We start from the raw sequence: 13,300 nt of genomic DNA on the forward strand, positions 1-13,300 counted from the left end.
TGTATTTTTACTAGAAATGGGGTTTTGCCATGTTGACCAGGCTGGTCTCAAACTCCTGACCTCAGGTGATTCGCCTGCCTCAGCCTCCCAAAGTGCTGGGATTACAGGCTTGAGCCACCATGCCTGGCCCTCGTGGCACTTAAACTTTTTTCTCTCATTTGGGAAAATTGATTTTCCCAGTGCTGAGGAGAGGACCAAGTAGAGCTTATAACGCTTAGTCTCTCCCTGCTTTCCCTAGAGCAGTTCCACTCTGCACTTCGTGTATTTTCCTTACTGATAAGTTGCTTCAGGAAGGGGACAGATTTGCTGCTTTTAAATTTTAAAAAACTACCATTATAAATGACCATGTCTGCTACTTGAGGTTTATTTAGATCATAGTCAGAGGTTCCCAAGTGTAATAGAATTGGGTCATATGGGATTCTAAGCCATACTTAGTTTTACGTAAGAAAAGAGGAAATAGAACATTTTAAGTTTTGCTCTGATTATGTTTTATGTCAGAGCTTGTCGTTTTATTTAATGGTCATATAGTCTAGCTTTCCTTAAAGATACGTAGATTTAAAAGCCACTTTAGAGATAAGGAAACCAAGTTTAAAAGAGATACGCAGTGACTCATGCCTGTGTAATCCCAACACTTTGAAAGGCCAGGGCAGGAGGATCATTTGAAGCCAGGAGTTTGAGACCAGCCTGGACAACATAGCAAGACCCCATCTCCACAAGCCAAAATTGAAGAATTAGCCAGGTGTGGTGGCATGTGCCTCTAGTCCCAGCTACTCAGGAGGCCAAGGTGGCAGGATCACTTGAGCCCCGGAGTTAGAGGCTACACTGCACTCCAGCCTGGACGACAGAGCAAGATCCTGTTTAGAGGTTAAATTCCCAGAGTCATACCACATAAATAATGAACCAGTGCTTCTGTTATCAAGGCTTAGAGTTTATCCACTAGGTTCTATTTTTTTTGTTCAGGCATCTAGTACTGCAGTTCTTCCAAAACTATCTGGACAATCAAATCTATCTAAATTGAATGTTATGTAGCAGACCTCTCACACTTCATTTAGTGAGTTTCATCGGATATTCAGTTAAAAAAAAAAAAAAAAGCTAATGGTTATGTTTGAAATGCATGGTTTTGTGAATAATCACAGTTCTTCAAGTGCTAACCTAGAACTTGAGTTGTGTTTTCATAAAGGCAAATGTTCAAAGGTATAGCAGTTAAGAGTGGGTTTAAAATGTGAATGAGAGAATTAAGGTAGTGGATGATCAAACCACTAGTTCCAGGTCCAGCCTTTGCAGTTACCAGTCATTGGAGACATGGATATCCAGCTACCCTGCAGTGGCACACACTAGGCCAAGGCTGTCAGAGCAGCTGAGACAGAAGAGGTCTCTGTTAGCAGTGGATGGGCAGCCAAGATGTACAGGAACTGCACAGAGTGTGGAAGAGTCAGAGTGAGGTTCTGCCAAGCACGGCATGACAGTTCTTTTTTTAAACGTGCCAATGCAGGACATGCTAAGTTAAAATATCTTAACTGTTGCTTAGTTACTGCAACACACAAAAACCCCAAGTACTAAGCTTAATGAATCACCTGCGTCCTTTCTTGAATGCTCAAATCTACAAAAAGACTAAACTGCATGACTAACGATTAGGACTCTTACTTGGGCTTTTTATAGAAGTGGAATGAAGAGGACTTGTGCGAACTAGGAAAAGCAGCTTCCCAGCATAAGATTTCTCGTCTGAAAGGGGTAATAAGTCTCCACCTTCGATGCCTCTGTGATCAAATTCTAAAGGGCAGCCCTTCATGGTTCAGCGAGCAACACAATTGCTGGGGATTCACAGGGCAGAGTTGGTATTTTTATTTTTTACTTTTCTTTTTAAATCAGTGTTGGGTCACGAATTTGTTTTTTAGGGTTTTTATTTTAAGCTTTGAGCTCAGCTCTGGTGTGTGATTTACGGCAACTGATTAGCTTCCTGTGCTCACTTCCCTTACCTATAAACATAATAATGCTCAAAGTACCATGAGGGAAAAAACATTCTTCATTCCCTCTAGCTAGAGATCCACTAGGTATGTTAGCATACCCCAAACAATGCACATCTAATATAGTAGCTCTATATGAATATTCCTTTTTTAAAAATCAGATTATCACCCAGGCGTGGTGGCTCATGCCTATAATCCCAGCTACTTGGGAGGCTGAGGTGGGAGGATCACATGAGCCCAAGAAGCAGACGTAGCAGTGAGCCATGATGGCACCACGCCTGAGTGACAGAGTAAGACCCTGTCTCAAAAAAATAAAAATTAGGTGATCAACATTAAGGATTAAATGTTACACAATGTGATTAGCTCTTACCTCACATGCCGGGGGGAGCAGGGAGTACACAATGTGATCCTAATATTTATTAACCACCAACCTTGTGCTCTAAGCAAGTGGTTATATGTCCCAGTTGGATATATGGCCTGGAATCATTCTGGTTCCTGTTTGCCAGGTATAATTTTTTTTTTTTTTTTTTTTTTGAGACAGAGTTTTGCTTTTTCCCTCCAGGCTGAAATGCAATGGCATGATCTCGGCTCACTGCAACCTCCGCCTCCTGGGTTCAAGCGATTCTCCTGCCTCAGCCTCCCAAGTAGCTGGGATTACAAGTGCCCACCACCACACCCAGCTGGTTTTTGTATTTTTAGTAGAGACAGGGTTTCACCATGTTGGCCAGGCTGGTCTCGAACTCCTGACCTCAGGTGATCCACCCACCTTGGCCTCCCAAAGTGCTGGGACTACAGGCGTGAGCCACCACGCCCAGACTCCAGGTATAATTATTAAAGCACCTCCCTTGCATCCACAAAAGTGTCCTGGTGTTTGTGATAAGTCACATGGTTGTCCTAAATATAACAAAAAAAGAGTACCAGTGAAGATTTTATTTCCTCAGAGAAAAAACTTGTCCTAAAAAACATGTTTTACTGTAGAAGTTACCCCTTCATTCACATACAGTCGGCCGCTTGTATCTGTGGGTTCTGCATCTGGGGATTCAACCAACCTCAGGTGGAAAATATTTCGAAGGAAAACAACAATAAATAATACAAAATGTAAAATACAATATAGCAACTATGTGCTAGCATTTACATTGTATTAGGTATTCTAAGTAATCTAGATATGATTTAAAGTATAAGGGAGGATGTGCGTAGTTTACAGGCAAATACGACACCATTTAATATCAGCAACCCAAGCATCTGTGGATTTTGGTATCCCAGGAGGGTCCTGGAACCAATCCCCTGTGGATACTGAGAGATGACTATATTATTTAGGGTGCTACTCAGACTGCATCTTATAAAGGTGAAGAACCATATCCAAGTCACTGAATTGTAGCTACATTATCTTCAGTAAGTCCCAACGGCAAGAAGCAAGCACGTCCCAGTCTTGGAACAGGGAGTCATGTCTTCTAAGATAGAGGAGCTAGATAGAGAAAGAGGGTTGGAACAGGGCTTTCTACTTTTCTGGGCACCTCTCCAAAGGTTTCTGCCACATAGCCACAATTATGTCTTTTTCCCTCCCAAGTCAGAAAGCAATTTCCCTTAAAGCCCTAAGTTTTTCCCCCAACTTAATCCCCTTACAAACTGAGTAGTACCAAAAATTATGTCCATTTTATTGTATTTTAGAGATGGGGTCTTGCTATGTTTCCCAGGCTTGTCTTGAACTCCTGGGTTCAAGCAATCCTCCTGCCTCGGCCTCCCAAAGTTCTGGGATTACAGGCAGGAGCCACCGCGCCTGGCTTATGTCCAATTTTGGAGGGTCTCTGGCTGCTGCATATAAATATTACCAAATATGTAATAGAATTACATTTCATTTCCTCCAACCCTGGGGTGACATACACGTTTTGTTTCTAATTCACAGTAAAGAGGGACTAGGGGACAGTGAAATTATTATTTCATACGATACTTGAATGGCAGGGAAATAGCAAAAACTTGTTAAATCATTTCAGAAATATCTAGTGGCCGGGTAAGAGTTGTCAACTTTTTGGTGCTTGAGGTGCATTTTTGAATACTAGAACTTGTGGCTCTCCTGTAAGGATTAAATGCTTCAGGTGTTACCACACTAGTATTCATCAGGGTGTTTGAGGAGAGCATCTGCTGCCATGGCCGAGTTCTCTCACATAGTTACACAGCAAAGTTCTTACGTGTTGCAGGAAACAATCTATCTGTGGCCCTGGCTTCATGTTACAGTCACCTCTTCACTCCTGCTGTTTGCATCTGCTCTTCCCCATCTGCAGCACCGGTCATCTTAACATTCTGGCAGTCACTGCCACAGAAGTACATGTCCCCAATTTGTGGCAAAATTTTGCACATCCACAATTTAAAGACACGTGTTCTCAGCACACTATTATGCTGCAGCACTGTGGTTGTAAAGTTAGAATAGAAAGCAGCTCACTGACAGTATCAGTTCACGTTGAAAATGAAACTTCAAAATACAAGTTTGAATATTCTTTTGCTGCTAGCACCTTTTATAACACAAAGTACTTAGGAATCACATCTGATATACAGTAGTCATCAGAAAAATTATCGCTTTCAAACAGCTAATACTTTATAATGAAAAGCATGTTAGAATTGCCGGGGGAGGAGTGGGAGAAGGACGCAGTGGGGAGAGGATAGATTCTGGATATATATACACACACACACATATATACACACACACACATATATATATACACACACACAAACACACACTTTTTTTTTTTTTTTTTTTTTTTTGAGATAGAGTCTTGCCCTGTCGCCCAGGCTGGAGTGCTGTGGCACAATCACGGCTTACTGCAGGCTTGACCTCCCCTCAAGCAATCCTCCCACCTCAGCCTCTCTGGTACCTGGGACTACAGGCATGCACCACTAGGCCCAGCTGATTTTTTTTGTAGAGATGGGTTTTCAGCATGTGGCCCAGGCTGGTCTCAAACTCCTGGGCTCAAGCAATCCACCCACCTCGGCCTCCCAAAGTGCTGGGATATTGCAGGCATGAGCCACCGCGCTTAGCCTGAGATTCTGGTAATATTCTATTGAGTTGAGTGGGATGGTGGCTATACATGAGTATTCATTTGACTTATTTAACTCCAAATATATGTCATTCTCTTGCATATATAATTTACATGTTTTTAAAAGCATATGGGACCTGAGAACCTAATATTGAAAGAAAACTCCAGTTTCACTCAGACTGTCTTTGAGAGAGGCAGACAAGCCTAACTTCAGTGGTGACTGATGTCTGAGGCATGTAACAGTAGCACGAGGCTGTGCCTAGCATCCATGGTTTCCTTTTATGCTGATAACTGAAAATCTCAATTACTTTAGGAAACAGGGCTGTCATTTAGAACACAAGAGCATAAAAGGGTCTTCCCAGTAGTCCACTCAGTCTAGTGTCCTGTCTGACAATGGCATCCAGAAATGTTTTTGTGAAAGAGCATAACTGGGTCATAAACCCAGCATGCCAGACCCAGCTCTGCACCAATGGGGAGGCAATTGTCAAGCATTCAATTGTGTAAAGCATTATGTTGAGCCAGTACAACAAGAATCGCAGAATAAAGATAGCCCCACAAATACGGAAGACAATAGGGATGGTATTTTTCACTGTGCTATTAGGGAGAAAAATGAGAAAAACATAATTAGAGTGAGGACAGAGGCAGCGTAGTATAGAGGTAGAGAGCAGGCTGGGCGTGGTGTCTCACGCCTGTAATCCCAGCATTTTGGGAGGCTGAGGTGGGAGGATCACTTGAGGTCAGGAGTTTGAGACCAGCCTGGCCAACGTGGTGAAACCTCATCTCTACTAAAAATACAAAAATTAGCTGGGCGTGGTGGTGCGTGCCTGTAGCGCCAGCTACTTGGGAGGCTGAGACAGAAGAATTGCTTGAACCTGGGAGGCGGAGGTTGCAGTGAGCCGAGATAGTGCTACTGCACTCCAGCCTGGGCGACACAGCGAGACTCCATCTCAAAAAAAAAAAAAAAAAAAAAAACAAAAGAAAACAAACAAACAAACAAAAACAGAGGTAAAGAGCACAGGTTCTGGAACCTGGCCAGCTGTGTTTAAATCGTGACTCCACTGCTTACTACATAGATCACACTGGCTGAATTACTTAACCTTGTAGTGCCTTTGCTTATTCAGCTATAAAATGAGGGCCGGGCGTGGTGGCTCACGCCTGTAATCCCAGCACTTTGGGAGGCCGAGGCGGGCGGATCACCTGAGGTTAGGAGTTTGAGACCAGTCTGGCCAACGGGGTTTCAACCCCATCTCTGCTAAAAAATATAAAAATTAGCTAGGCGTGGTGGTGGGCACCTGTAATCCCAGCTACTCGGGAGGCTGAGGCGGGAGAATCACTTAAACCCAGGAGGTGGAGGTTGCAGTGAGCCACGATCACGCCATTGCACTCCAGCCTGGGCAACAAAAATGAAACTCCACACAAAAAAATAAAAAATAAAATAAAATGAGGATTACACTCATGCCTAACTCCACAGGGTTACGAGAATTAAATGAAGTCATCCATGTGAAGCAGTTGGCACCTGACATCAGATGTGAGCTTATCATGGGAGCTGAAAGGCATTTTTCTAGGTATTGGGCCTACAAGAGTGTTACAGTTTAGCAGAAGAAACAGAAAAATAGGCAGGTGTGATGTTACTGATGCAGGAGGCACGGATTGCTCTGAGTACACCCGAGGAGCACCTAATAGTGAAACAGCTACCATTTGTTGAACACTAGTGATGTCTCAGACAGTCACCCACATGCTTTGTTTTCTGTTTTCTCCCTTAGCAATGCCCTATAAGCCCCGCCCCTTACCCAAGGCCTTTACTCACACTCACTGTGTCCTCACAACAACATAAGCAAGGGGTAAAAATTCACAGCCTGTGGAGTGCAGAGCCATGCTCTTTCCCCTTTATCACGCAGGGCACCATTAATATTTTAAGGCACTTCAGAAAAAGACCTGTCTCGGAGAAAGAGAGTCCAAAAGAACATCTGTCTCCTCACCTCACGCTACTTTGCACCTGGCCATATTTCCAAATCAATTCCACACCCTGTTTGAAAGCAGCTCACCTTGGGGATGGATTAGAAAAATCGCAAGCCCCAGGCCTGGGTATGTGAGTGAGTTTCGGCAACAGATGAAGGGCAGGCAGGCGCCCCGTCTGGGGAGGAAGTCCAGTGTCACAATTGTACCTCTGAGTAGCTGTGTTCCCAACATTCCAGAGAACAGCTCCACCCTGGAACAGCTTTCATGAGTTATCCGCACTGACGTCAGCCACATACCTGTGAACACGACTTGCTTCTTGGCTGCCCACAGCTGCACTATTCCTTCTTGCTGGGTTTTGGGAGTACACATGAGCTATTCATTACAGAGTTTCAGGCCCACTAGCAACTCTGAATACCTCATATTCTAAAAGAGCACGGCTTTTCCCAGCTCATTTGGGATTACATGAGAGATTAGCCTGTGTCCACGAAGGCCAACAACTACTCTGACTGGGGAATCGGCAAGAGAAGGCTTCCTGGAATGAGTCTCGAGGGATTTGAGCTTTGGACAAAGGAGTTGATAAGATTTTGTCCTAGGACAAAGAAAGATAGAACAGGCCTAAGATAAATGAGCAAAGATATTTTAGCACCTAGGTTTTAGTCGTTCAACTTACTGGTATGTATGTATTTATTACTTATTTTTATTTATTTTTTTGAGACGGAGTCTCACTTTGTCACCCAGGCTGGAGTGCAGTGGCACAAGCTTAGCTCATTGCAACCTTTGCCTCCCGGATTCAAGCAATTCTCCTGCCTCAGCCTCCCGAGTAGCTGGGATTACACAGGCACCTGCCACCACACCTGGCTAATTTTTGTATTTGTAGTAGAGATGGGGTTTCACTCCATGTTGGCCAGGCTGGTCTCAAACCCCTGACCTCAGGTGATCTGCCCGCCTCAGCCTCCCAAAGTGTTGGGATTACAGGTGGGAGCCACTGCGCCTGGCCTATTTATTTTTTATTTATTTATTTTATTTTATTAGATGGAGTCTCGCTCTGTCGCCAGGCTGGAGTGCAGTGGTGCAATCTCAGCTCACTGCAACCTCCACCTCCCGGGTTCAAGCAGTTCTCCTGCCTCAGCCTCCTGAGTAGCTGGGACTACAGGTGCGTACCACCATGCCCAGCTAATTTTTGTATTTTTAGTAGAGATGGGGTTTCACCATGTTGGCCAGGATGGTCTCGATCTCTTGACCTCATAATCCGCCTGCCTCAGCCTCCCAAAGTGCTGGGATTACAGGTGTGAGCCACTGTGCCCGGCCTATTTATTTTATTATTATTATTTCTGGGGGACAAGGTCTTGCCCTGTCACCCAGGCTGGAGTGCAGTGGCTCGATCATAGCTCACTGCAGCCTCAAACTCCCTGGCTCAAGCGATACTCCCTCCCACCTCAGCCTCCTGAGTAGCTAGGGCTACTGGTGTGAGCAACTAACTGGTATTTTTTTACTACTTACTCTGTGCCACATCCTGGAAATTCAATACTGAACAAGTTAAATGGTTTCTGCCCTTGTGTAGTTTACAAGCTAGTGGAAGAGACAATCACTAAATAATATAAATTACATTTGTAATGAGCGATGGGGAAATAATGTGTAACAGTATTCTGGAGTCAAGGAAAGCTCACCAGAGGAAATGACATTTGAGCTGAAATTTGACAGCTGAGCAGGATTCAGGCTGGAGATATGCTTAGGGAAGGGTGCAAGAAGAGACTGCAAAAAGGGCAAGGGGGAGAGACAATCCTGTATGCAGGATGGTATGGGTCAGGAGCAGCAATACCTGCCTATATGTTGATAGTGTTGGGGCCAGAGGATGTGAAACGGAGCATGATAGGGTAGAAGACCTATGATTGGCTCTGTTTCTGTCCCTATATTCTGTCTACTAGATTAAGTTAGCTGTTCTCCCATCTACAATACAGAGAGCTCCAATAAACTCAGTTTTAAGTTTTAGGATCCCTTGGCTCTCCAGGCTAACCATATGAGGGAGACGCTTCGCACGGAGATTTGGGTTTCCTGGTGTTCTATTAGGCATATTTTTCCAGCCAGGTGGAAGAGGAAGTCTTTCTGGGTTTTTTTTTGTTTTTCTTTTTGTTTTTTTGAGACAGAGTTTCGCTCTTGTCACCCAGGCTGGAGTGCAATGGTGCGATCTCAGCTCACTACAACCTCCGCCTCCCGAGTTCAAGTGATTCTTCTGCCTCAGCCTCCCGAGTAGCTGGGATTACAGGCATGTGCCTCCACATCCGGCTACTTTTTGTATTTTTAGTAGAGACAGGGTTTCACCATGTTGGCTAGGCTGGTCTCGAACTCCTGACCTCAGGTGATCCACCCACCTCAGCCTCCCAAAGTGCTGGGATTACAAGCTTGAGCCACCACGCCTTGCCTGAAGTCTCCTTTTTATGAACCTAATATCTTTCAACGTGCCTAATATTTGTCAAAGAATTAGTCTCAGCACTGTGCTGTTTAGGGGATGGGACATTATTCCTGTATTTACTCAAAAGGAGAAATTAGAAAAACCCTTGATTGCATAATTTAGTCAGCTCATACCCCAAGTCACTTCAATTTCCCTATCTTGCTTCTTGTTATTGTTTTTAAAAATAGGCTGGGCGCAGTGGCTCACGCCTGTAATCCTAGCACTTTGGGAGGCTGAGGTGGGCAGATTGCCTGAGCTCAGGAGTTCGAGATCAGCCTGGGCAACATGGTGAAACCCTGTCTCTACTAAAATACAAAAAATTAGTCAGGCATGGTGGCGTGTGCCTGTAGTCCCAGCAACTCGGGAGGCTGAGGCAGGAGAATTGCTTGAACCTGGGAGGCGGAGGTTGCAGTGAGCCAAGATCACACCACTGCATTCCAGCCTGGGTGACAGAGTGAGACCAAAAAAAGCAAAAAACAAAAAACAAAAAAACAAACCAGAAAAGTGGGATGTTTATACTTTATAAAAGGTACCCGGAGGAATTTCAGTTCAGCTGTTCAGTCTATGGCTGCTGTAGTAAACAGCTATACTTCCAAGGCCTTGCACAGAGCAATCCCCAAGGCAACATTTCCCAAGGTGTATTTTATACAACACCAATTTCTAGAGCTGCACCTTGAGTAAAGGGTTCCATGGATCAGTAAGTTTGAGGACACTGAATGTGAAATCCATTCATGAAGAAGTACCACCACATTAGTACATTAAGGGGCTAGCAAGTCCTATAGTAAAAAAAAACAAAAACAACAAAAAACCAGTATTTCCCAAGTACTTAATCACAGGAAATTTTTGTTTGAATAACTGCTTATTTCTATGGCAGGACTACCAGAGATTATTGCTCATTTTTATTTTAATTTTTTTTGAGACAAAGTCTCACTCTGTCGCCTAGGCTGGAGTGCAGTGGAGCAATCTCGGCTCACTGTAACCTCCGCCTCCCGGGCTTGGGTGATCCTCCCACCTCAGCTTCCCAAGTAGCTGGGACCGCAAGTGTGTGCCACCATGTCCAGCTAATTTTTGTATTTTTAGTAGAGATGGGTTTTTGTCATGTTGCCCAGGCTAGTCTCAAACTCTTGGGCTCAAGCAATCTTCCTGCCTCGGCCTCCCAAAGTGCTGGGATTACAGGTCCCACCCTGCTTATTTTTTATTTAACATTTATTCAGCATTGTGTACAAAGTAAGTGTGGTGTCATGCAGAAATGAATTACAGAGGGGAAGGGTTTAATATGCATTTGATATATAGTTTCAAAATATTCAATTATTTTATAGAAGAAATGGGATGAACTCATAAGATATCAAGTATAAATCAGTAATTGGCATCTAGAAAATGTGTGGGTTAAACATAGATGAAAAAAGCTGGGAGAACCAAGAGTACACGTGGTAATAAACATACATAAGGGGGACCTGGGCACTAAATAGTGATACATTAAATACCAATATTCACAAGTCTTTAATATGGTCACCCATTGGTGATATCTAGCCTGGCTTCATGTGTTCTCTGCCCAAGTAATGAAAATCCATGGCTGTTCAACAGACTAATGACAAGCTACAATTTTGGCCAATTGCTTCTCTCCAATAGAGCAAATATGTACCATTGACCCAGAACCTCCTCCTTCCCTTGCTTGAACCTCACCACTGGCCTGGAAGTTCCTCATAAGGTTAAACATAAAGTTACTGTATGACCAGCAATTCTACTCCTAGGGATATACACCCAAGAAAAATGAAAATATATGTCCACACAAACACCTGTGCACAAATGTTGATAGCAGCATTGTCCATAACAGCCAAAAAGTAGAAACAACCTAAATGTCCATCAACTGATGGATAAACAAAATGTGGTATTCCCATCAATGGAATATTATTCAGCCATAAATGGACATGAAATTCTGATACATGCTATAACTTGATGCACCTTGAAAACATTATGCTAAGTGAAAGAAACCAGTCACAAAAGGCTGCATATACTGTGATTCTATGTATATAAAATATTCAGAATAGTCAAATCTATAGAGGTGGGTTGGTGGCTGCCAGGGCTTGGGGAGAGAGATACAAAGAGATACCACTACACACTTACTAGAATGCATACAATTAAAAACAGGACTGGGCGTGGTAGTTCACGCCTGTAGTCTCAGCACTTTGGGAGGCCAAGGTGGGAGGATCACTTGAGCCCAAAATTTTGAGACCAGCCTGGGCAACATAGTGAGATCTTGTCTCCATGAAAAATAGAAAAACTTAGTCTGGTGTGGTGGCATGTGCCTGTAGTTCCAGCTACTTGGGAACCTGAGGTGGGAGGATCACTTGAGACTGGGAAGTTGAGGCTGCAGTAAGCCATGATCGTACCATTGCACTCCAGCCTGGGTGACAGAGTGAGACTCCTGTCTCAAAAAAAATAAAATAAAATAATAAAAATGAATAAATAAATAAATAAAATTAATTTAATTAAAAACGTTGACTGTACCAACTGTTGGTGAGGATGTAGACAATGGAATTCTCCTACACTACTGGTGGGAATGTAAAATGGCATGACCAATTGGAAAACAATTTGTCAGTTTCTTAAAAAGTTAAACATATACCTACCTAATGACCCACTCATTCTACTCCCAGGAGAAATATAAGTAGAGGTGGTCTTCGACTTACAATATGGTTACATCCCAATAAACCCATCATAAATTGAAAATATCGTAAGTTGAAAATGCATTTAATACACCTAACCTACCAAACACCATAGCTTAGTCTTGCCTACCTTAAATGTGCTTAGAACACTTACATTAGCCTACAATTGGGCAAAATCATCTAATACAAAGCCTATTTCATAATAAAATGTTGAATATCTCATGTAAATTATTGAATACTGTACTGAAAGTAAAAACCAGAATGAATGTATGGGTACTTGAAGGACAGTTTCTACTGAATGCATATTGCTTTCACAACATTGTAAAGTTGAAAAATCGTAAGTCGAATCAATGTTAAGTCAGAGATCATTTGTGTATATCCATACAAAGACTTATATATAAATGTTTATAGAAGTTTTATATCTAATATCTCCAAACTGGAAACAGTGCAAAATGTCCATTAATAGGTAAATGGGCAAACAAATTTTGATATAGCCAAAAATGGAATACTACTTAGTAACTGATACTCTAAACAACATGAATGAATCTCACAACATAGCTGAATAAAGAAAGCCAAAAGAAGGGTATATACTATATTATTTCAATTATATAAGTAAGATTCTAGGAAATGCAAGCTAATCTGTAGAGACAGGTAGTAGATAGTGTTACCTGAGGACAAAGAAGGGGATTATAAACAGGTATAAGAAAACTTTGGCCAGGCACGGTGGCTCACATCTGTAATCCCAGCACTTTGGGAGGTCGAGGTGGGTGGATCGCCTGAGGTCAGGAGTTCAAGACCAGCCTAACCAACATAGCGAAATGCCATCTCTACTAAAAATACAAAATTAGGGCCGGGTACAGTGGCTCACGCCTGTTATCCCAGCATTTTGGGAGACCGAGGCGGGCAGATCACGAGGTCAGGAGATTGAGACCATCCCGGCTAACACAGTGAAACCCTGTCTCTACTGAAAATACAAAAAATTAGCCAGGCATGGTGGCAGGTGCCTGTAGTCCCAGCTACTCGGGAGGCTGAGGCAGGAGAATGGCATGAACCTGGGAGGCAGAGCTTGCAGTGAGCCAAGATCAGGCCACTGCACTCCAGCCTGGGCAACAGAGCGAGACTCCGTCTCAAAAAAAAAAAAAAAAAAAATTAGCCGGGCATGGTGGCAGGCACCTGTAATCCCAGCTACTTGGGAGGCTGAGGCAGGAGAATCACTTGAATCCAGCAGGTGGAGGT

The 13,300-nt window shown here is 43.3% G+C and overlaps 7 annotated features.

Annotated features, from left to right (window-relative positions):
* Positions 1,609–1,728: an enhancer, noted in NCBI's record as "active region_8423". NCBI's record gives its function as "activates an Ori minimal core promoter by ATAC-STARR-seq in GM12878 lymphoblastoid cells {active_cell/tissue: GM12878}" and the evidence as "EXISTENCE:reporter gene assay evidence [ECO:0000049][PMID:35858748]".
* Positions 3,987–4,116: an enhancer, noted in NCBI's record as "active region_8424". NCBI's record gives its function as "activates an Ori minimal core promoter by ATAC-STARR-seq in GM12878 lymphoblastoid cells {active_cell/tissue: GM12878}" and the evidence as "EXISTENCE:reporter gene assay evidence [ECO:0000049][PMID:35858748]".
* Positions 6,660–7,859: an enhancer, noted in NCBI's record as "MED14-independent group 3 enhancer chr14:55543983-55545182 (GRCh37/hg19 assembly coordinates)". NCBI's record gives its function as "activates an origin of replication core promoter dependent on BRD2, BRD4, P300/CBP and CDK7 cofactors, and independent of MED14, by STARR-seq in HCT116 cells {active_cell/tissue: HCT116}" and the evidence as "EXISTENCE:reporter gene assay evidence [ECO:0000049][PMID:35650434]".
* Positions 6,660–8,303: a biological region, named in NCBI's record as "MED14-independent group 3 enhancer GRCh37_chr14:55543983-55545182".
* Positions 6,778–7,277: an enhancer, noted in NCBI's record as "H3K27ac hESC enhancer chr14:55544101-55544600 (GRCh37/hg19 assembly coordinates)". NCBI's record gives its function as "activates a minimal SCP1, AML or CMV promoter by ChIP-STARR-seq in naive H9 embryonic stem cells {active_cell/tissue: H9 hESC(naive)}" and the evidence as "EXISTENCE:reporter gene assay evidence [ECO:0000049][PMID:30033119]".
* Positions 7,300–7,801: an enhancer, noted in NCBI's record as "H3K27ac-H3K4me1 hESC enhancer chr14:55544623-55545124 (GRCh37/hg19 assembly coordinates)". NCBI's record gives its function as "activates a minimal SCP1, AML or CMV promoter by ChIP-STARR-seq in naive H9 embryonic stem cells {active_cell/tissue: H9 hESC(naive)}" and the evidence as "EXISTENCE:reporter gene assay evidence [ECO:0000049][PMID:30033119]".
* Positions 7,802–8,303: an enhancer, noted in NCBI's record as "H3K27ac-H3K4me1 hESC enhancer chr14:55545125-55545626 (GRCh37/hg19 assembly coordinates)". NCBI's record gives its function as "activates a minimal SCP1, AML or CMV promoter by ChIP-STARR-seq in primed H9 embryonic stem cells {active_cell/tissue: H9 hESC(primed)}" and the evidence as "EXISTENCE:reporter gene assay evidence [ECO:0000049][PMID:30033119]".

Source organism: Homo sapiens, chromosome 14 (genome assembly GCF_000001405.40).
Source record: "Homo sapiens chromosome 14, GRCh38.p14 Primary Assembly".
In the NCBI taxonomy this organism is placed as follows: Eukaryota; Metazoa; Chordata; class Mammalia; order Primates; family Hominidae; genus Homo; species Homo sapiens.